Source organism: Homo sapiens, chromosome X (assembly GCF_000001405.40).
Source record: "Homo sapiens chromosome X, GRCh38.p14 Primary Assembly".
Lineage (NCBI taxonomy): Eukaryota > Metazoa > Chordata > Mammalia > Primates > Hominidae > Homo > Homo sapiens.
In genome coordinates, this window is record NC_000023.11 from 124,513,582 (window position 1) to 124,537,857 (window position 24,276).

At 38.2% G+C, this 24,276-nt stretch overlaps 1 protein-coding gene across 14 annotated transcripts in view, besides 2 other annotated features; it reads right to left on the bottom strand.

The window, feature by feature from the left end:
- TENM1 (teneurin transmembrane protein 1) overlaps positions 1 to 24,276 on the bottom strand; it is an 828,410-nt gene that overhangs the window by 137,679 nt on the left and 666,455 nt on the right. For all 14 annotated transcript variants that reach the window (XM_017029210.3, XM_017029211.3, XM_047441760.1 and 11 more), the window contains 3 exons: positions 16,283 to 16,402; positions 9,783 to 10,044; positions 6,936 to 7,203 (listed from right to left, as the gene is read on the bottom strand). In XM_017029210.3, the coding sequence (XP_016884699.1) occupies positions 6,936 to 7,203; positions 9,783 to 10,044; positions 16,283 to 16,402 (650 nt within the window). The remainder of the gene's footprint in view (positions 1 to 6,935; positions 7,204 to 9,782; positions 10,045 to 16,282; positions 16,403 to 24,276) is intronic.
- Positions 20,450 to 21,045: an enhancer, noted in NCBI's record as "OCT4-NANOG hESC enhancer chrX:123667881-123668476 (GRCh37/hg19 assembly coordinates)". NCBI's record gives its function as "activates a minimal SCP1, AML or CMV promoter by ChIP-STARR-seq in naive and primed H9 embryonic stem cells {active_cell/tissue: H9 hESC(naive and primed)}" and the evidence as "EXISTENCE:reporter gene assay evidence [ECO:0000049][PMID:30033119]".
- Positions 21,046 to 21,639: an enhancer, noted in NCBI's record as "OCT4-NANOG hESC enhancer chrX:123668477-123669070 (GRCh37/hg19 assembly coordinates)". NCBI's record gives its function as "activates a minimal SCP1, AML or CMV promoter by ChIP-STARR-seq in naive and primed H9 embryonic stem cells {active_cell/tissue: H9 hESC(naive and primed)}" and the evidence as "EXISTENCE:reporter gene assay evidence [ECO:0000049][PMID:30033119]".

The following is a 24,276-nucleotide window of genomic DNA, read 5'->3' on the forward strand; positions in this document are numbered from 1 at the left end:
AATCTGAAAAGTGTCAGATGCAGCACTGTTGCTGGTGCAAAATTCAGTCTATTTCCTCCCATATCAGTTAAGTGATTACAAAATATCACCAGGAGTACAAATAGACATTTCCTTCTTTGTTTATTTAGATTTAATCATAAATATTAAGGTATCAGCTCAATGGTTGTATATTTGATCCTATGTGTTTCCACTCATTTATCATCTGAACTATTTATCATCTACTGTGTTCTTATGGAGCTCACAATCCATCTTCAGAGTAGTAGATTCTCCAGCTTCATTCTACCAACTGTTCAGATGCTTTACCATGGTCAGAAAATGGATCTTTTGGAAACATTATGCCATGAAAAACAAGCCAATAGATAAATCCATATAGACAAAATGGAGATGAGTGGATTCTAGGACTTGGGGGAGGGAGGAGTGGGGAGTGACTGCTAATATGTACAGGGTTACTTTGTGGAGTGATGATGAAAATGTTCTGGAATTAGATATTGGTGGTAGTTGTACAACCTTGTGAAAATACTAAAAGCCAATGAATTGTACACTTTAAGTGAGTGAACTTTATGGTCTATGAAATATACCTCAATAAGCCTGTTATTAAAAAAATGCAGCTGAGCTGCATTTATGTGAACCCTAGCAAGAAATGACTACTAGATGCTGTACTGGTCAGCTCTTCATGAGAGGACTGAGAAAATTTCTAAGTGTCACAATTTAAGAAAAAAAGCAAAAAACAAAAACAAAAACAACCCCCATCGAAACCCAACTGGGGTCTAAGGAAGATCATAAAGAATTAGAAAATATGAAAAACTATTTAAAAGATCAAAAAATTCAGGTGTTGGTTTTTTGAAAAATTAGTAAGATATATAGGCCACTAGCTAGACTAATAAAGAAAAAAAGAGAGAAGGTCCAAATAAATACAACTAGAAACAACAAAGGGGATGCTACCACTGACTCCACAGAAATGTAAATAACCATCAGAAAATACTATGAACACCTAGAAGAGATTAATAAATTCATGGACATATACACCATCCCAAGATTGAACCAGGAAGAAATTGGTTCCCTGAACAGACCAATAATGAGCTCTGAAACGGAATCAGTAATAAATAGCCTACCAACCAACCAACCAACCAACCAACAAACAAACAAAAACCCCAGGACCAGGTGGATTCACAGCGAAATTCTAGCAGATGTACAAAGAACAGCTGGTACCATTCCCACCAGAATTATTCCAAAAAATTGAGGAGGGAATCCTCCCCAACTCATTCTATGAGGCCAGCATCATCCTGATGCCAAAACCTGGCAGAGACACAACAGAAAAGAAAACTTCAGGCCAATATCCCTGATGAATATTGATGCAAAAATCCTTAAAAAAAAAATTTGCAAACTGAATCCAGCAGCACTTCAAAAAGCTAATCCACTATGTTCAAGTATGCTTCATCCCTGGGATGTAAAGTTGGTTCAACATACTCAAATTAATAAATGTGATTCATCACATAAATGGAACTAAAGAAAAAAACCACTTGATCTCAACAGATGCATAAATGGCTTTGATAAAATTCAACACCCATTCATGTTAAAAACTCTCTATAATAAACTAGGTATTGAAGGAACATAGCTCAAAATAATAAGAGCCATCTATGACAACCCCACAGCCAACATCATACTGAATGGGCAAAACCTGGAAGCATTCCCCTTGAAAACTGGCACAAGACAAGGATGCCCTCTCTCATCAGTCCTATTCAACATAGTATTGGAAGTCCTGGCCAGAGCAATACAGCAAGAAAAAGAAATAAAAGGCATCCAAATAGGAAGACAGGAAGTCAAACTATCCTGTTGGCAAATAACATGATTCTATATCTGGAAATCCCCATAGATTTGGTCCCAAAGCTCCTTTAGCTGATAACTTCAGCAAAGTTTCAGGATACAAAATCAATGTACAAAAATCACTAGCATTCCTATACACCACCAACAGCCAAGCTGAAAGCCAAATCAGGAACACACTTCCATTCACAATATTCACAAGAAGAATAAAATACCTAGGAATACAGTTAACCAGGGAGGTGAAAAATCTCTCAAAGAGAATTACAAAACCACTGCTCAGATAAATCTGAGATAACATAAACAAACAGAAAAGCATTCCATGCTCATGGATAAGAAGCATCAATATCGTAAAAATGGCCATACCACCGAAAGCAATTTACAGATTCAATGCTATTTCTATCAAACTACCAATGACATTCTTCCCAGAATTAGAAAAAAAAAAACCTCTAAAATTCATATGGAACCCCCCAAAAAAGCCTAAATAGCCAAGGCAATCCTAAACAACAACAAAAAAAGCTGGAGGCATCACATTACTCAACTTCAAACTATACTACAGGGTTACAGTAACCAAAACAGCATGGTACTGGTATAAAAACAGACACACAGATGAATGGAACAGAATAGAGAGGCCAGAAATAAGGTCACACATCTACAACCACCTGATCCTCAACAAAGCTGACAAAAACAAGCAATGGGGAAAGGACTCCCTATTCAAAAAACAGTGCTGCAGTAACTGGCTAGCCACATACAGGAGATTGAAACTGGACCCCTTACTTACACCATATACACAAATCAACTCAAGATGGATGAAAGACTTAAATGTAAAACCCAAAACTATAAAAACCCTGGAAGACAATCTAGGTAATACCATTTTGGACACAGCAACAGGCAAAAATTTCATGAGGAAGACACCAAAAGCAATCACAACAAAAGCAAAAATTGACAAATGGGATCTAACAAAATTTAAGAGCTTATGCACAGCAAAAGAAACTATCAAGAGAGTAAACAGATAACCTAAAGAATAGGAGAAAATATTTGCAAACTATGCATCTGACAAATGTCTAATATCCAGCATCTATAAGGAACTTAAACAAATTAATAAGAAAAAAATTAGCAACCCTATTAAAAAGTAGGCAAAGGGCATGAACAGATGCTTTTCAAAAGAAGACATATATGTGGCCAATAGCATATTTAAAAAAGCTCAATATCACCCATCATCAGAGAAATGCAAATTTTAAAAAAGTCAAAAAATAATAGATGCTGGCAAGGTTGTGGAGAAAAGGGAACAATTAAACACTGTTGGTGGGAGCATAAATTTAGTTCAGCCATTGTGGAAAGCAGTGTGTCAATTCTTCAAAGACCTAAAAACAAAATTTCCATTCGACCCAGAAATCCCATTCTTTGGGTAGGAATATAAACCATTCTACTATAAAGACATATGTACACAAATGTTCATTGCAGCACTATTCACAATAGCAAAGACGTGGAATCACCCTAAATGCCCATCGATGACAGATTGGATAAAAAAGATGTGGTACTTATATACCATGGAATACCGTACAGCCATAAAAAAGAATGACATTGTGTCTTTTGCGGGAACATGGATGGAGCTGGAGGTTATTATCCTTAGCAAACTAACGCAGAAACAGAAAACCAAATACCGCATGTTCTCTCTTATAAGTGGGAGCTAAATGATGATAACTCATGGACACAAAGAGGGGAACAACACACACTGGGGCCTATTTGAGGGTGGAGGCTGGGAGGAGGGAAAGGAGCAGCAAAAATAACTATTGGGTACTAGGCTTAGTAAATGGGTGCCAAAACAATCTGTACAACAAACCCTGTGACACGAATTTACCTATATAACAAGCCTACACACATACCCCTGAACTTAAAATAAAAGTTTAAAAATAAATAAATTAGGATTATAAATCATGCTGCTATAAAGACACATGCACACGTATGTTTATCGCGGCACTATTCACAATAGCAAAGACTTGGAACCAACCCAAATGTCCAACAATGATAGACTGGATTAAGAAAATGTGGCACACATACACCATGGAATACTATGCAGCCATAAAAAAGGATGAGTTCATGTCCTTTGTAGGGACACGGATGAAGCTGGAAACCGTCATTCTCAGCAAACTATCGCAAGGACAAAAAAACCGAACACTGCATGTTCTCACTCATAGGTGGGAATTGAATAATGAGAACACTTGGACACAGGAAGGGGAACATCACACACCGGGGCCTGTTGTGGGGTGGGGGGAGGGGGGAGGGATAGCATTAGGAGATAAACCTAATGCATATGACGAGTTAATGGGTGCAGCACACCAACATGGTGCATGTATACATATGTAACAAACCTGGACGTTGTGCACATGTACCCTACAACTTAAAGTATAATAAAAATAAATAAATAAATAATAAATTAAAAGGAATTGGAAAATAAGGACCTATAGAGAAAAATTGGAGGAATTTTGGATTATCTGCCTAGTGAAGGAAATGCTGTAGGATAATATCATGGAGAAGAGAATTAGAGGCTTTGAGTATGATTCAGTGAGGGTCTCAGCAGGAATGAGATGTCGCACTTGTAAATGTTCACCGCAGAGAGTTCGAATTAAGGCATGGGCAGAGTTAAGAGAATTATCAAGGAAGGGAGAGCCACCTAAGCACTGGCATAACTGGTAAGCCTTCTGGGCTTGTAGGGGGAAGAGGATGGAGTGATGATACAGAAGGCAAGAGAGAGCATGGGGATTTGGAGGAGGGGCTACTAGACAGGGGCTGCTATTGTCTAATGTAGTCTGCAGTAAAGCGGGGAGAGGGATAAATACCCTGAGTTTGTTCTCTTTCTACAGTCTCTAGATGGTGCCACTCATTGACCAAATCAAGTGGGAAGTTAAAGAGCAAGGTGTTCAGGGAATGCAGTCCATGGAAGCCAGCCTCTCAGAGCACAGAGAAGGACAGAAAAGAGATTATGCGTGTGTGTGTGTTTGTTGGGGGCGGAGGGGTGGGGCGGGCAGGGAGGGCAAATGGAGAGTAAGTAGCACAAAGTGCTTGCCTGTTATACTCACAACACCCTTCTTAGAGAAGCTAAGGCAACAAATACCTGCATAGACTCCATGCTTTATACTATGTGATCACAGTACCCTGGCCACAACAAAATGAAAAAAAGCAATACCAGCAACTGACATTTGTTGAATTCTTACAATGTGCCAAGCATTTTATGTTACTCACCTCATTTAATCATTATATCATAACAAACCTATGAGTAACATAATCTTTATGATATTCACTTTATAGATGGAGAAACTGTGGCATTTGGAGATTAATTTATCCAGCGTCACACAGCTCGTAAGTAGAGAAGGAATTATTTGAACCCGGGGAAGGAGTCTGGCTCCAGAGTTGTTCTCATAACCACTACACTCAATAGAATAGGGATTAAGCAGGACTCTGTAGGCTGGTCAGCAACTTTCACGGCAGCCTAATGCTAAAGTTCTGCCTTACAAGGGTGTTCTGGACTGCACAGTAAATGGCTGACACAATACAATATTTTCTCTAAGAGGAACCTGAATATGAGATACACAGCAAGTTAGCAGACCACATAGAATGTGAAGAGCTGAGAGAGAGAAGGAGGGTAGTTAGTATGGCAGGAGGAGAGATGAAGTCAGTCTTAAGTATGGCTGAGTCACCACTGTGGGAAGCAGTGGACTTGGAAAAACTTGAGCTGGTTTTAAGTTGACAGAGCAGATGCAGACCTTCTAGAAATGCAATGTGTCCTGAACAAGGCTATAGGTTTTGAGTCCTGCTTGTGAGGCTACCGATGGTATTTCTTGTACTTTCTTATTTTTTTGTGTGTCTTTACAATAATTTCCCATTTACTGAGGTAATATGAACCTGTCCATGTTCCTTGCATTCCAGTAAAGTCCAACACAAATGAGTTAATTATTTAAATATATGAGGGTCTCTTGGGCAGAGAAGAGTCATTAGTCTCTCTCTCTCTCTCTCTTTCTCTTTCCCTCTGGGAAAAGAAAATTGACATACTATAGTCTAAGAAATATAGGTCAGCTCTGTAGGAATTATACCATGCTAGACACTTCCAAGGGAGGATGTCTAAATGTCTCTTTTGGAGAGCTTTAAAATAATCTTCTCATCTGTCCAAGGGTGATCTACATGAGCTGCTTCCTGAAGGTACAAGGATTAATGGCTCCCAAACTGCAGGTCTACAGACCTGTATCAGAGATACAGAAACCTTAGGAAGGTTTCTCTGTTTTCTACAGAGTGAGAGAGATAAAGACTTTGGTGTTAGTTTATCTCTCTCTGAGTGTCAGGGTTCGATTGCTTGCCATCATTTCTTAAAACAGACTATTTTTTTTCTTTTCTGCTATTAAGGTATCCCTCATATATGAAATTATGGTAGTGGTAGGAATAGTATAGTATAGTGAGTTCTTTTAAAAATATTCTTACTTGACAAAATAAAACATTGGCAAATCTATCTCTGCCTCATTTTAAAAAAATGCCTTTTGTCTGGGAGAATTAAATACCTGAAAACCATAGGCCCAAAGGACCTCTTAAGGTCCCTGCTATCTATAAGATTCTAGGTTTTAAAGTCTTGAGATTAGAGAAAATCAAAAGGAATAGGAAGGCAGGATGATTTTTTATTTAACCTGAAGAAGTAACAAGTTAATGAAGTCTAACCATCTTAGACATAAAAGATAGTAAGTGGAGATGGCCATAAGTTAGAATTTTGTAGTCTCTAAGTAGAAATGACAGTCTAAATGTCAAATCCAAAAACATGGCCTTATAGAACGCCACACCAAAGGTCACATTTAGAAGGCAGCATTTGGCTCTGGTGACAGTTACAAGTCAGATATTGCATGAGTCCATTGGTACGCAGCCATCATGAAAGGAGAACTAAAATCTTTTTGAAGCAAAAATGTGTCAAAAGGGAACTCTAAACTGGCCTCAAGGTAGTGTTTAAATTAAAAATGCCTTAGGTCCTTTAAACAGAAGAAAATCAGTAATTATTCCAAATACAAATTAACATGTAACAAGTATTTTCTGTTCTGTGCATGTAATACTGCTATTTACATATAATTAGTTCAACATACCCAAAGCCTCTGCCAGGCCCCAAACCTTCTGTCCATAGATGTCGGTCTTGTTCCAAGCAAATGTGTAGACAAGATTAATTGCGGCGGGAAACCACTTCTGTGTGAGTCGCCCTTCCACAGCTACTGTGAGGTGTACTTTTATCATGCCTACAGGAATCGTTGAATGTGTCAGAAGGATCCGTAGCAGGGTTTTATACCCAGGGGTGCGGCTGCTCAGGTAACTCAGCCTCACAAAGCTGGAGGGAATGGGAATTTCCTCCTGTACAACCTGAAATAAAAAAAAAAAAAAAAAGCCAAATAGGCTCTTGTCAGTGGTCGCAGGTAGATGAGGATATTGCATGCTTTGTTGTCTTTGAAACATGCCAAAGGAGAGAGCTTAAACAGGTCTAAGGACGTCAAGGCATTTGTTCTTGAATCTTTGTGAGACTGTATGATAATAGGTTTTGAATTTTGCACCAAACCTGAATGGAGACAAGACCCAACCTTAAGGATTGCATTTATTTTTTCCCCATGCCAGGAAAGATTGTGTAAGGAACAATTTCAGCTTTTCAATAGTGTTCCAAAAACTGCTTAGTAGGAGTTGAAAAAGATCATACCGCTGAATGTCAAGCAATTCAGCACTATGGGCTCCATTAAGGGGTCTTTTTCTTATACAGACATACACAAAATCTTGTTTGGTGTTAAGTCATATATCATAAAACCATTGGTGTAATCCTTATTCAGGCTAAGCTCTCTAAGAGGAAGAACTCAAGAAGCAGGCCCAGCAAGTGATATTTTATGACAAAGATTATAGTTTCCCTAGAATTAATCTTTACCGATGCCATCAAATTCGTTTTCCTTGGAGCTTTGAAATGACCCTGAGGCCAAATTTTTAATCAAATTTTTCTTACATATTTCTCTGTGCCTGGATGTAGCAATGGCTGGGAACAAGTTTCTCCAAGTTGGCACTTGTGACTGAGAAGCAAATAACTCTCACCAATTCCTCTGCAAATTTTACACTAAACGTTGGTCTCAGAGTAAAAATACCATGTGGCTTTAATTAATTGTTATTACTTGTTTGCTTATCACCACAGATAAAGTTAAATAACCAAAGGTGGTAACTAAAATTGAATCATGTGTTCTTTGACTTTCATCTTTCAAAAGACCTCTGAAGAAAAAGCCCATCCTATTCAATACACTTAAGGTGACATGAATAGCGTAGATATTTTCATGCTCTTATTCATTTTTACCTCAGAACCTTGTTCTCTCTTACTTTTCCAAACTTGTGCACATAGAAGAACTGATTGTTAAACATATGGCATCTCATATTGTCCAGCATTTTTGGTCTTTCTCCTGTTTCTGAGGACACGATACCTTTTGTGTACACTTTGCCAGTTTTTCTTCCTCTACCTTAGCCATTTGATACCAGAGTTGTCCACCAGCTGTCTTCTCAGTTGGTGACAGAAGTACAATAGAGAAGGATAGCCTGACACTCACCAACTTAGTAGTTCATTTTCCTAAGAAAACATGCAATCCTAAATAAGCCTGGAAACTTTCGTGCTGAAAGAAGACCCGTACTTCCTAATGACATCTGTGAAGGGATTGGCATACCAATCAAATGTACTCATTAAACACTGTCTTGTTTTTTCTCCCTTTGTAAGCAAAGGGCAATGGAAAAGATAAGGGGTAGCTCTTTGGACTGCTTTTCCTGAAGGGCAGTATTTTTGTGTGAGCCTTATCTAAGTGGTATTCTCTAGGCACTGCTAAGAGCTGGTGGGTGGTGTTATGATGAAAGAACAATCAATTCTATCTTGGAGCATGCATTTCCTTCTGGATTTCTGGATCTGTTAAGACCTATGAGTCCATTTTGGTGGTTTCCACATTTAATTATCATTAAAATGTTTCTATAATGTGGTGAGGGAATTGTACTATGGTTGAATAGTTTAATATTGAAATGACAATATTGAATGTTCAATAAAGAATAATTCTCAGGAATGTTAAAATATCGAGGTTCAAAAATGTCTTCTCCTGACTATAAAGCTTGAACACTCAGAAGCAAAGCTTTTTTAAAAAAAAAAACTGCACAGGCTTGAAAACTACATTTACTTTACACAGCTAGATGAGAGAACTTGTCATGTCTTCTAAGAACAATGACAATGATACAAACTAGACAACAGGAAGAAAAGTAGATTTCTTTTTTTTTTTTTTTGGAGACAGAGTTTCACTCTTGTTGCCCAGGCTGGAGGGCAATGGTGCAGTCTCAGCTCACTGCAACCTCCGTCTCACGGGTTCAAGCAATTCTCCTGCCTCAGCCTCCTGAGTAGCTGGGATTACAGGCATGTGCCACCATGCCTGACTAATTTTGTATTTTTAGTAGAGACAGGGTTTCTCCATGTTGGTCAGGCTGGTCTTGAACTCTCAACCTTAGGTGATCTGCCCACCTTGGCCTCCCAAAGTGCTGGGATTACAGGCATGAGCCGCCACGCCCAGCTCAAAAACTAAATTTCTTAAGGAGCTTTAATTTCAGAACCACAAACAGTCCAAGCTCATGGATTATACTGTTATTACTAATAAGCCAGCTAGCTTTGTTCTTAGAGCACAGTGTTTATTAGGTCAAAGATTGGAGTTTAATTCTTATGAAAGCTACTTAATCTTGTTCTATTCCATGGCCACAGACAGCATTCTAATGCCCTGACCAATTGTCTTAAAAATGTATGCCAGAAAAACATTTGAAGACTTCTCTTGACAAATAAAGGGCAGCACATTATAAGGATGGTAACAAGAATAGGAAAAGGAATTTAGCTATTATACACTGTTGACCACTCCATGATATTATTATTTTATACATTCAAAGGCCAATATACTCACCTGCAGCTCAGGAACAATAGTTCCCCTCTCTGGACAGGACCCTCCAAATGATGTGAGCGGTGAAGGAAGCACAATAGGGTTTGGGCTGATAAAGTTGGAGATATCGCAGGATGGCGGGTCTGATACAACTCTCTGCATGGTGACTTTCTCTACCACAATAAACTGATTCCAAGGCAACCAGAGTGTTCTCTTCTCAGGCAGGAAAGGGGATCGGTCGAAGATTAAGATGACAGAGATGCCACCGATGGCCACGAGGTCAAAGCTAAGAAGGAAAAACATAAGACAGTTGCAATCAAATGAAAAATTAAAAAATTACAGTTAAAAAATAGGTTAATTTCAGTGCCCTTTCCTTTTTGGGGGGACTCAACTATATCCACTTGTATTGTCTATTTTATAAATTCTCTCTAGCAATGTATTCATTCCGTAGATGACTTCTTTTCACTATCTAGTGGTCTTCTAGGAAGACATTCCATGTCACCAGTTGATATTCCCTTGAAATTTGTAAACCAATTTTTTTTTTTTTTTTTTGAGATGGAGTCTTGCTCTGTCACCCCAGGCTGGAGTGCAGTGGTGTGATCTCGGCTCACTGCAACCTCCGCCTCCTGGGTTCAAGCGATTCTCCTGTCTCAGCCTCCCGAGTAGCTGGGACTACAGCTGCATACCACCATGCAAGGCTAATTTTTGTATTCTTTAGTAGGCATGGGATTTCACCATATTCGTCAGGTTGTTCTTGAACTCCTGACCTTAGATGATTCACCCGCCTTGGCCTCCCAAAGTGCTGGGATTACAGGTGTGAGCCACTGCGCCCAGCCTGTAAACCAGTTAATTTTAACACTATCTTAAACAAAAATCACTGCATGCATTTCTGCAAAGCCAAATCTGACACAGCTGCTCCCCTTATGCTAAAGATAACAGAAAGATGACTATCTAACATTTAGCAGCATCTTTGAGAATGATGCATTATTCATTTTCCAAAAAATCCTATAATGTAACATAAGAAAAGTAAGGAGCCAAAAGGTTAAATATCTTGTTCAGGGTCACAAACATCGTGTCAGAAAGCAGACAGTGTCTTTGAGATGGCATTTGGAGAAAGATATCAGCAGAGGACAATTGTTAGGGAAAATTTCTTTGAACTCAGCTATGCCCGACCAAGCCTTCTACATTTGACTACCCTCTTTGGCCTCCTAGTCTACTTGCACCTCAGATTTAAGATCTCTGGTTTGCTTCACAATGGTTTTTGGTTTCTTTTTGTAAGACAGCCTGTAATGAACCCTGCACAACTTCACCAACAACTCCTTCTCTATCCATGACAAAGCAAGACTACCTCTGCTGTAAGCCAGCTCTGTCTATCTCTAGATGTGGTCTATGACAAGACTATTGCATTGGAGCTGAACAGATTCAGATTTCATTTCATTCTGCACTAGATTACTTCTCTTTTAAGTATAATGACGTCTTTGAGATGACGTACTTGAGAGCATCTGAAAAGCATAAACTCCTATATAAAAAAGTAAGATAATGATAAATTATTATCATTTTTATGTTAAAAATGGATAAAGGGCAATATGATGTTACTTAATATTCAAGGCAACTTAAATCCACAGGAGAGAGATGTAAGCAATTGCCTGCATTAAAAAAGATCTTTCAGCAAAACACTTTTTCAACGATAAAAAGCCCTGATAGGGAATCAGACTTAATTATGGACATCTCATCACTCTCTTCCTATGACATTTATTATATTTATTATAGTATTACCAATCGTGTTTTGTTGCAGAAATCTTGCAGATAAAGATAAATGAACAGTAACAAAGGATGGATAATACCGTGTTTTTTATTGCTGCTTTTTCAGTAAAGTAGCTTAATATTAAGGCAGTTTCCAAAAAGAGGATTTGAAGAACTGCATTAGCTACAGAAAATAATTTAGGTTTGAACCAAAAGAAAAAAGAAAACACAAACGGTTTATGGTTTAAGACAGAGGGTCTGAATTCATAATACTACAGGAACAGTTTAAGGCAAGTGTAGTGGGGAGAATCTGACACTACTTGTCAAGAAACCTTTCCTCTAGTTCACCTTCTATGTGGATTTAAGTATGTGTTCTTGGGGAAGTTTATCTGCCTCACCCAAACCTTGACTCTTGACTCAAAATTGAAGTGCTTATTTATTTAAAAACAAAAAACAAACACAAACATGAAAACTAAATAAACTATCCAGATAAAAACATAGGTGCCTGGAAATTATTCTCTCTCTTTTTAAAAAAAAACTTTTATTCTGTACTTCTGGAAAGATTACACAGACAGGCCAGGCATCTTGTTTTGTAGAAAGAATGTGGGTTTGGTTTCATATATATCTGGGTTTGAATCCCAGCTCTGCCCTGTTAGCTTTGTGTCTTTGGGCTAGTTATTTAACCTTCCTGAGATGCAGTTTTCTCGTTAGTAAAATGAAGCCTCTATAATCTATCTCTTAGCTGCTATTGTAAATGAATGAGATAAAGACTTAAGGGTCAAGCATATAGTAGGAACTCAACAACTGTTACATTTCTTCTCAAATCAGATTCATTGCCCTACTACATTTGCCATATGTTTTCTTTTTTTTGTAGTTCAAGTGAACTATAGGTCAGCTTTTGATTATCTCCATGAGCAGATACTGATTTTTAAGGTCTCCTTGGGACTTCCCTTAGGCTTCTTATGATCGTTCATTTTATATCTCTATTGCCTAGGTTATAGTTCTAAGTTATTTAATGAAACACCAATCTAGGTATTGCTGTGGAGGTCTTTCGGAGATGTGGCTATTATCTATAATCAGTTGAATTTAAGTAAAGGAGATGATCCTTGATAATGTGGGTGGGCAAAACTGTTTCTGTGAGGAAGAAGAAATTCGGCCTTAAGACCACTGCATCTCTTTCCTGAGAGTTTCCAGTCTTCTAGCCTGCCCGACAGATTTCAGACTTGCCAATCCCCACAATCTTATAAGCAAATTCCTTGGAATAAATCCCTCTCTCAAGACAATAATATCAATATCTATATCTATGTCATATGTTGTTTCCCTGGAAAGCCCTGACTGATACACTTCTCATCTTTCCACCTCGCAGTTATACACAGTAAACACTGCCTGGCTGACTCATTAATTGACATGGAGACGGAAGGTGGAACTGTGGCCAGAGATCCATCTAAACCATTTCCAATGCCAAATAGAATGCTGAATGATTACTTCTTTGGGATTTCTCCCACCACAAAACACCTCCATTTGCACGGGCCATTAATAACAGGTTATTAAGTCATATGAGAGTGGATATAAAAGACCCAAGGGAGAGGATTTATTTGTTTGGAGATTGTTGTCAACACATAAGTCCAACCAGTCCTATCTACAGATGGAAGGCTATTGACACCTATGCAAATTGCTTATCTCTCTCTGCCTCATGGTATCCATAAATGAATAAACTTTTGCCTTGAGGAGAATCAAAGGGAACCCTCTCTTCATCTTCTAGTCTTCAGAACAAAGTTCTTGAGACCTTTAATACTTCTCAAGAAACTTCTAAGAATGTCGTCACTTCACCTGTTTTGCTTATCATTAGCTGAACTATTTACAAATAGTTCTCTTTCAACACTTGACTGAGGACTGGTTATATACCTAAGTTGAAGGTGGTAAATCATAGAAGAAAAGAGCAAGATTACTTGGGTTTAAATCTTGAACTCTATCCTTATTATCTGGATAAATTTTCTCATACAACAAATGGGGAGGATGATAATAATGATATTTATCTCAGATAGTTGTGAGGATGAAAACAGAGACATTCATGAAAGTGTCTAACATACAGTAGACACTCATAAACATTCACCTTTCCTTTAGAATAGGCTTTTTTCTTTTCTGCTAAGTAGTCCCTTCTCTATGTGAGTATCTAATCTCTTCATACTTTTAAAGGGCTCAGTCTTTCAACACCATCCTTCCTTCTGCTTTGAATAAATTACTTTGGTCCCATGATCTAGACCTTTTCTGGTTCTTTAGGGAAACTTGTCAGTTTACTTTTGCAAGTAGTTGATAATGGGGGTAAATATTTCTACATCCCACATGACATATTTGCATTCAACGGGGACTTTGAGAGAGCTGACAGCTTCACCCAAAGCAGTGATACCATTGGTGAAAAGTATAAGCACTGTGGCCGACTGGAGGGATTGAGATTTGGACATGGAGGATCCTATCAGCAACTCTCATATCACACTCTCTACTAGGTATCTAGATGCTAATCTCAGCCTTTCTATACTCTTTTGACCTCAGGTATATTTTTCTTTTTTCTTTTTTTTTTTTTTTTGAGACAGAGTCTCGCTTTGTTGCCCAGGCTGGAGTAACGTGGCGCGATCTCGGCTCACTGCAACCTCTGTCTCCCAGGTTCAAGCAATTCTCCTGCCTCAGCCACCCGAGTAGCTGGGACTACAGGCGCCCGCCACCACGCCCAGCTATTTTTTTTTTTTTTTGTATTTTTAGTAGAGACGGGGTTTCACCGTGTTAGCCAGGACAGTCTCGATCTCCTGACCTCATGATCCGCCCGCCTCAGCCTCCCAAAGTGCTGGGATTACAGGCTTGAGCCACCGTGCCCGGCCGACCTCAGGTATATTTTTCTTATGATTTTCTACTTTTGAAATGTACTTACTCAAACTGAGGTAGCAACAAGCAGAGACATATAAATGGAAACTCTCATCACACTGTCACTTTATGTCCAGGAAATGACAGTGGAACAGTCTGGTTGGCATTTGGGGCCCATATTTTGAATGTTTACACCTTTATGGAGCCTGAGGGGAGTTATTGCTAGAGGGGATTCTGACTAGTATCTGTCATCTACATAAACTCAGTTGTCACTGTGAGTTCAGCAGAGGAGGGGCTTGGGGCATTTCACTTAAAACTAAAGACACAAAAATAACAACAAAGATTACCCTCTTTAATGTTCCCTGTAAACTGTACACAAACATTTTTAGACTTTTTAGGTATCAAGATTCTTTTAGGTTCTTGTGTGAATATCAAATAATTCACCGAAACCTTTGTATGTAAGCTAAAAAAATGAGGTCTTACCAGGCCTCCACGAGAAGTCAAAGTCAAATGTCTCAGAAGACATATTCTATTTAGAGAAATAACCCATTTCTCAATTTGTGGCATATGGTTGAAGATGTTTGCAAGGGTGAGGCTAGTTTTAAGCACCAGTTACTGGTGAGTGCACTACCAAAATTCCGTTATTCAATCTAATTGGGAGAAAGACCCATTTGAATTAATAGAGAACTCTGATTATAGAATATTTGAAAGGAAATGAAGTTTTATATATATATATATACACACACATATATATGTGCATATATATGTACATATATGTGTGTGCTACCAAAATAGTTCTGCTGAGCTTGTTATAATGAAGAGATGGTTAGTTAGTAATAAGCAATATAATTTATACATAAATAATTTATATAATTTACTAAAGTCCTTAAGAACAGTTTATTTTCTTAAGTAGGCTAAAACTCTTTCTTATTATCTTTTTAAACTAATTTTTTATAAGTACTTTCTTGACAGGCTCTTGGAAAAATAAATCCGGCACAGCCCAAGTTGAACAATTAACATTTCTAAAGTGTCTAGGACTAATAAGGTTTGATTGTAGGTTCTTGAAATGAGATAGTTTCTCACAGTGTGATAAAGCTCGAAGCCAACAGGTCTTTTTTTGCGTATGATTATTGAAGTGGCTTGTTATGAGTAGGACATTTTAAGGGTAGTCACCTGGAGACTAGGGCACCTCAAAGCCATTATTACAGTGTCCCTGAGAGTCATAAATAGGTACCTTTAAGCTGGACACATGGGCCTATTGACCCAAATATTCTGAATCAATGTCTGTCTAAATGACGGCAACAAAAATGTTGTTGTGAGCAAATCCTTTTCCAGGATGAGAAGGTTTTACTTCAAGGTCTTGCTTCTCAGATCTTAGAGAACCCCCTTAGAGAGCAGCCTGGTGGTTGGTGCTTCAGGATAAATCACTATAATTAAGTAGGCTGGCCAAGCTTGTCTATCAGTTGCAGCCAATAGTCAAATAGGCAGCCTAGGGAGGACACATTTTTAAAGCTTCTCCATTAATGTGGTGGAATTCTGTACTTTTGGAAGAAATATTTTTGATGCATTCATTTCTGAAATATTTGGGGGTTACTATGGAAAAATAGCCTATGTGTTCCATAGCTCCTTATTTATCATTTGCATAATGTCACTGATCTTTGAAGTTGGATTTATAGATGGAATTAGATAAAGGATAGAAAACTTTTCACATGGCCTGGGTTTCAAGAAGACTCGAGAAGGATTAGAAGAGGAATCCAGTTTGAATTAATTAGGAAATAGAGGAAATAAATATCACCAATGACTTTTTGAGATATAACTTGAAGAAAGATGGGTTTACCATCACTGTATCATCTGAGCCCTGGTTTTACCCCTGGCTAGAAGTCAGTAATTGGCCCCCACAATGATCAGAAACAACATTGACATACCTTCCATCTTGCCGGCTGATGGTAAACCCATAATCACTGTGGTGCAAGAAACTGACATTCACTCCCACTAGAGGAGTTCCATCTATGGCCACCACTTGGCCTCGAATCACACAGGCACGCCTGCAACACAAGACCAAAGGCAAACAGAAAAGCATGTTGAGACTAGATTCTAGAAGTCAAGTTGTAGAAACTTTGGAAAACAGTCAAGTATAACAAAGAAAACAATAATTTCACCAACCAGTAGAAAACTACTAATAACATTCTGGGGAGGAGTTTTTTTTTTTCCCCATCAAAATTAGAATCATACTAAGTATGGTTCTGAATCTAGATATTTTAAGGTTAAAAGCATATTATTAATATTGTCCAATGTATTTAGAAATTCCTTAATATATCATTTTTGTTATTATATAATACACCCTTAAATTAGTATCCTATAACTTGCTTAACCTACCCCTGATTTTCGGACATTTTGTTGTTTCTTAATTTTTTTCTGCCTTAAATTTCTTATTATTTCCTTGAGAGAGAGTCCTAGTTGTGGAATGATACTTTTCTCTTATCAAAATTAAAGTTAATTACATTAGTTAATACATAAATATATTGTAAGATAAGACTAAAGTCCCTACTGACCGCCTTTTTCCTGCTTCTTGGTGTTCTCATCAGAGGTACTCAGCACTATTAGTTTGTTGTGTGCATTTTCTATGCATTTACATATATAGTATGAATATTTTTAAGCCTCCTGATATACACTGCTAAAGTGCCTTTTTCTGGTAAAACAACCAGCCAACCAAACAAACAAATTTAGTTGAGCACACTTTAAGTTAAAGTCTGCAAAAGAGACATGATCCCTGACAATGGTATACTGCTTTTCTTGCCTAATTTAAATAAAATATTTCAAGACACTTTCCCTTTAAACAAATGAGTCCCATCCTTACTAAAAAATGGAATTCCATTAAACTAGTCCCTAAATAGGGCTCTCTTTCAGGGACATAGTCCACTAAAACATACAAGACTTTCAGCGCTAGCCTGGCTGACAAGCTGTAACAAATTTCAGGAGGCTGGCAGTTAAGAAGAGTGCCCTGGGACAAATCCCAAGCAAGGATTTTTTTCACTGGTCTGCTGGGAGGAAGGGACAGTTTTTTCACCAGAGTTTAATCCTAGTCTTGGCAGCCCTGAGCTCTTGGACATGAATTTTATAGCTGGAGCTGGCAGGGTTGAGGAAGGTTGAGCAAGGTCAGTGATTTTTCCTAGGGCATCAATACCACCTTTTTTTTTTTTTTTTTTTTTTTTTAACCAAGTGGGATTCTGGGTATCCAGGGCAGCTCAATCTTGGATTAAAGGGGACCATGTTATTCAGACAAACATGGCTTTTCAGATTAATCCTAATCATTTCATCCTGGAATTATACATTCTTTTAACAGAATCAGAAAGTAAAGGGAGGAATGTAAAGGCTCATGGCCACAAACATCATTTGAGAGAAAGTAAAACACCTTTGAATAAGCTACAGATGGTAGCTTATAATAAGCCAGAGTTGGTTGTATATGTTTTAGCCAATAAACCTCACTACTAAATTCTGTTGCAATCAGAGGAATTGGTTATAAGTTATGCTAATAGGATTTATCCTCTTCTACGTAAGGGCTTTCCCAACAAAAGTTACAAGCCATTAAGTATTACGCAAAGTAAGCGAGTGTAATTGTTGCTATTAGTGTTTGTGTATTTTCTGAACTCTCAGACCAACATTCATAGCTCTGTGACATAGATCAGTGGCTTTTTTCCAGTGAGCTGTCCATTTTATGAATTATGTAAATCATGGTTCTGAGTGGCATGCAAATGGCATACTGGCACTTGCTTCGCCATGTTTGATTGTCCCAATTTCTGTATCATTTTGAAATCCCATTTGTTCTAATAGAGAAGACATTTGAAGTCATTGAGTTCTGGATTTTGAACTAATTCTGGCAGATCTGGTCCCAGGTTCTAAGTCCAATGTAACAAGAAATGAAAATAAAAGGACATCTCTGATTTTATACAGTAACCTTTTAGATGTCTTTACAGAGCAACTTTTGACAAGGTGGGTGTAGATTGAATGGAAACAAGCTGAGAAAATCTCCTGCAAATGACATATGGATTGGTTCCAGGGGGGCTGTGAAGAGACTGTAGTGATGCCAAACAATTTAGAAATTAGTTAAGCATTGTTTCCTGAGCTCTCAATGCTGTTAGCTGCTTTGGGAGTATGGTGGGGGTTAGTTATTACCTTGCCAAGCCTCCACCAGTTAACAAGGTGGCCTTTACAACAATAACACCTACCTAGGTGCTTGCTGATTCCCTATTCGCAAGACAATTCCAAAGTCACTCTTTTTATTTGCTCACATTAATCTAGACATTGTGTCTTTCCACAGCTGTACTAGGCTCAATTATTTTTGTTTTTATTTTGTCAAGCCTAGTTGGCATTATTTTCTCATATTTTATGACACACACAGACCTGTCTCTCCTCTCTGCTGTTCTTTTATTTTCTATATGGCTTATATTTATGAAGGTCCAAGCTGGTGAGTGAAAGTCTCATAAAAGTTATCATTATTCTGTGCATTTCCCTTGTATTCCTCTCTTCCTTCATTCTGTATCTCGTTCTGAGTAGACTTGTCTTTTGACTCTTCTGCTTCTTAATATTCCTCATGTTTTATGAAGCACACATATTTGTGTGATAATGACTCATCAAAGTCATCATTATTCAAGACACTGTCTACCTGTTCTTCTTTTCATTCATTTCACTCTTCATCACTCATAAATAATGCTCACAGACTTGTCTTTCAACTCCCCTTCTTTCTTATTCCTCATATTTTATGATCCACACAAACTTACAGCATATGATAAAACCCCATAAAACTTATATTCTACATTTATCAGTATTGAACTCCCTTTGTAATGTATTAGACTTTAAATGTTCCAAGATTCCCTGTATCTTGCTGCATTTGCTCCCATTATTTATACACTCCATGTCATCCATTTTTCACGAGAATAACTCTTAGGTCTTTTTATTCCTGGATTACTAGTACTTACTGTAATCTTTGAACAATATCAGTCATCCAGTGTCAGTTTAAATTGTCTAAATTTCAGGACAGTATTAAAGTATTCTTTTTAATTTGCAGTAATCTTGACTGACACTGCATGCAGAAATTTAGGAAAAATCTACCTCTTAGGCAAACTCTCCATTTCAAAAAGAAAGCTCTTGAGTGTACTTGCTTTCCCAGGCAGGCTACATCAGCTCCAAATGGCCATTAGGGAGCCTTCATATATATTCTTTGGAAGTATGGCATATTGTGCCACTTCGTTCAGCTCAACTGCCATTTTGTGCACTCCCAGATTCTAAATTCTATTTTCTTAATAATTGTGGATGGTAGCCTTGTATCTGGTTTGTTTTTCCTGATTCCCCACAGCCACTAAAATATAGTTCCTTCCCTCCCATTTATATAAACTATTTTGATTATGCTTCTTATATCTAAGGCAGCCTGTATAGTTCATTTTTTTCCAAAGTTAGATCCTAGCTGAGTAGTGAGGTATGTACGGTGAGGGTCTGCCTTTGATATTACCACAGTCCTGCTTTCTGTGTTTTTCCTATTCCCATTATGGTGCCTCCCTGTTTCCTCTTCCAGAGAGTCCCTGGCTTCCTCAAATCACCATTGAAATTAGTCAGCCCTACTTGGCCTGTACTTGGTCTGCCTCGAGGAAGCATCTTGAGTTCTTGAATTTTTGCCACATCAAAACTACCTTCAACCTGAGTTTTGGTCCTTAAAAATTTGTCTTTTTCTGAAACATTTTCAATTCAATAATATATAGAACTCTTCTAAATCTTTCAAGTAAGATGATAGAAGCTACTGTCTGGACTGTCATGCGGCTGGCCCTGCACATGTGTACAGCAGCTATGTGCCCAGCATAACTGTCGTTTGTGTTGGTTTTGTGTGTCTATATGTGTGGTCTTGTGTACGCTCAACGGCAGGCATTGCATACTTTCTGTCTTTGCTTGGGCTCTCCTTTGATTCACAGACATGAATGAGATGGATGCTTTGCTTGGTTGAACCTTTGAAAACAAGAACTTCTCCCTGCTGTTGTTGGTTAGAGCAAGATAACTTGAACTTAGATGGGCATGTCCAATGTGACTCTAGAAACATGCATGGGGAATATCACCCCTCACAAGTGTCTTTTTTCCTGTTCTCTAGAGAATACAGGCTGCTGCCAAGCTGTCTACCTGCTGTCACTATGCTAAAGCAGCAACCCCAAAGGAATTGCTTCTCCACTTTAACTAAATGCTGAATCCTCTAGGTGTTTGGAGCTTGGTCTGAAGAACAGAGCATCTTGGGAAATGCAGGTCAGAATACACTTTACTGGGAGCCTTATTTAACTAACAAGCTGCTTGTTAGACAGTTCTGATGCAAAAGGTCTAATTCATTCTGTATTTGTTATTTTCATGGAATAGTCAAATTATCCCTAGCCTTCAATCAACTCTTGGTTCCATTCTCCTCTTCCCTTATTTGTTGTCTTTTGTCTTCGGTGTCAAATCTCCGATATTCGTTTAACACCTCAGGCAACAACATTAACCTCAAGCACAATAGTTGGTTTGAAAAACAAGGCTGAAAACTAAATTGCTGAAAGAAGATGCAATTTACTACATTGCATTTCTGATTAATGTCTTTCGAAAGAAAACAGACTCAGGGCTAGAAAAGTTACAGCGATTTCCTTTTGTTGCTAACAGGAGCATAAGCAGCCTTTGAAGGGTAACATTCAAAATCAAGGACCTAGCCAGCAGGGGATCTAGCAGCAGGTGGGCAGGTTAGGTTGTTTTTTTTCCACAGGAACAGATGAAATCCTTTCTACAGCTGACAGCTCTGGTCAAAAGGTAGCACTGAGAAGGACTGGGCTGAGAGAGGCTATATGAATCCTCTGCTCACTAGTGTTTGAATCCTGCCCCGTAAATTCCTCTTTGAATTGTCAGTTGGTTCAAGTCTCCAAGGGATAGAAATTTGTCACATATGAGGTGTGACTGGAGGATTCCCCTAACAACTGTAGCTACTGGGGTCTCTGTTGGAATGCAAATATCTCTGAATAGTTAGGACAAAGGGTTTGTGATGTTCCTGTTACCACTGCCATCACATAGTGAATAAAGGGGCTTCTCTTTAGAAAGTAATTTTGGGATTGTGGTGTTGGTCCTCAGTCCTGTATGATAATCTCTCTCTCTTATAGATCAGTGATTCTCAAACTTGATTGTCCACGAGAATCACTGGAAAGCCTTATTGAAACACAGATTGCTGGGTCGTATCCTCAGAGTTTCTGATTTAGTAGGTCTGGTGTTGGATCATAGAATTTACATTTCTAACAAGACAAACCTTTGAGAACTGCTGCTTTAGGAAAAGCAAGGCCATAACATACTCAGCCAATTAAGGCATATGAACTCCTGGAGAGGGAGGCAGAAGGTATAAACCATAAAAAGGCAGGCAAATCGACCACTGGTTCACAATCTTACCCTTATGAAATCTGTCAGGCATGAATTTTAACTCTTCCATATAAACTTCTGGAAAAGGGTTTGCAACAACTGTAGTTTGGGGAGTCATGTTGAAACTGTCATGACAAAAGGGGTGGCTGTACTACAAGATGAACTACAGGGTCTTCAAATTCAGAGATTATAAAATGGAAATATGTTTTAGTCCAATTTATTTGTCCCAAATAAGTGTCCATTTCTCCTCCATCCTCATTATTCTTATTATACAATGCTCATACTTGTGTTATTGCACTTATCATAACCGGTCTTGGATGACAGTTTTAGATCTGTCTGTCTTTTTATTAGATAGCCAGGGCAAAAACTGTGTGATTTTCTTCCCTGTGTCCTTCTCAGAGCCTGATGTACACAGCACATGCTCAAGACAGGTTCATAGAATTTCAACTCAAATATTTAAAAATATAGTTGTAAGATCCTTGCAACCTATGCTCATGGCACTGCTTCAAGCAAGGGCTTCAGTGACTACGTTGAGATTCCTGTGTAACAGATGCCTTACACTTTATTTATTAGAAGCCAACACTCTGGATTGAGCATTAGGACATTCTCATCAGGAGTGTTTTGTTTGATACTTGACTATTTTAGGGAATTAAACAGTACCTATTGTGATCGGGAAGATGAAATGATTAGTCTTCAAATGCTTAATTTATGCACGCTAGCCCCATTCTTCCTTTATATATTATTATATAATTACTATTTGCTATTTTATAATTTAAATGCATTTGGGACTTCTAATATCCAGATATTTTGGGGGTTTCCTTACAACACGTGCTACTTTTGATATATGTTATCTAACCTGGTACAGCACTATGAAAACACTTAATGTTATAGCATAAACCTATTTCCATGTTCTGAAAATTCAAATGCAGTGAATGCTCATATGCAAACCCAATACAATGTCCTCGTTAGTTTTTATTTTAATATGGTGGGTTGATTTAATCCTACTCAGTTGGTCACTGCCCCAAATAAACAATGCCTACCAAGTGGGTAGCATTAAAAGCAGCTGGGAGCATTAGCCATCAACATTCTAGGACTCTGGGAAAGGTGGTGCTATTGAAAATGCAGATAGATTTTTAAGCAGAATTATTTTCCTCATGGCTAGTGATGTTTCAAGTAAAACAAAATGGGGGCACTCACCCTGAGGTAGGGTGGCTATTTTCCCATCTGCCTTGGTAATTGCTTGTCAAAAGTACGCTTGCTTTGGAGGTCTGAGATCCCCAAAGTAATGGGAAAAAGATCAAGTGTTTTGAAGCAATAAGAAAACTGACGACACAGTCACATTTTCAGGACTGCGTAAGTGCCAGTTTGCTTCATTTAGACACATGATTATTTTCGTCCAGAATTTGAATCCTGAAATATTTGTCCTGTAAGCCCTTGCAACTCTTGAATAGTCTGAAGTTAGTTTTTCCCTTAAAATTTTTGGTTTGTTTTTTGCTTGTTCTACACATGACTCAAATGTTTTCTCTTTGCAATCAGCCTTATAGGGTTTTGTTAACCTCATTAACCTCTCTTGTCACTTCTCTGAATCTGCCTTTCGACTAATGGATAGTCATTAAATATAGGACAGATCCTTCTTGTTGGCCATCTCCTGGGCATATATTACTCTTCCCTCCACAGACGAAGAAGTGTGTCTTTGCTCTAGCCACAGCTGTGTTCTAGCTCTGGCTTGCTAGTAACCACCATTGTTGACTTTTCCTAAGAAACAGAATTAACTCTTAGCTCTGTTTGCTCTTTATGTAGGGTGGGAATGTTCTTTCTTCCCTGACCTCTCCCCGGTTACCTCACAAAGATGTCATCATAGTAAAATTACCCAGTAAAATGATCACTTTTGAACTAGGCCTTTCAAATTCTATTGCTATGTACCCTGATAATTATTAGATATATATGTTGTATAAATAAAATATTTATTATACTATGAATCAGGTACTATGCCAGATACTTTCCTTACCTTATTTCATTTAATGTCCACATAACCCTGAGTAGGTAAAGCTATTAGGCCCATTTAAAAAATGAAGAAACAGACTCAGAGAAGTTAAAAGTTTTGCACTTAACACAGCTCATAAGTGGTGGAGGGGTGGAGATCTCTTGACCTGGCCCCCAAAGAGCCTGAGCTGTATTGCAGATCTTTCTGAGTCAAGATATAAACAATATGGCTACAAATGAAAAGAAAGTGATCGCCTACAAAGATGGTGCTATCTACAGAATTATGGCTACCTGGAGAAATTTACCAACTGCTGAGCACTTCCTATGTGGAGTGTGTGTAGTGGAGATGAGCTATAGCATGTCATTTGTTCTTTCTTCCCAAACTTGCATTCACTTTGTCCTCTCCAGGGACAAAATGAGATGACAGAACCAGCTAGAGAGTCATTACAAGCAAATAGTATGACTGAGTAGTAGGTAATAAGGATTTGAGCCTTTTAACTTTACATCCTAATGGAGCAGCAAGTAGGATAGA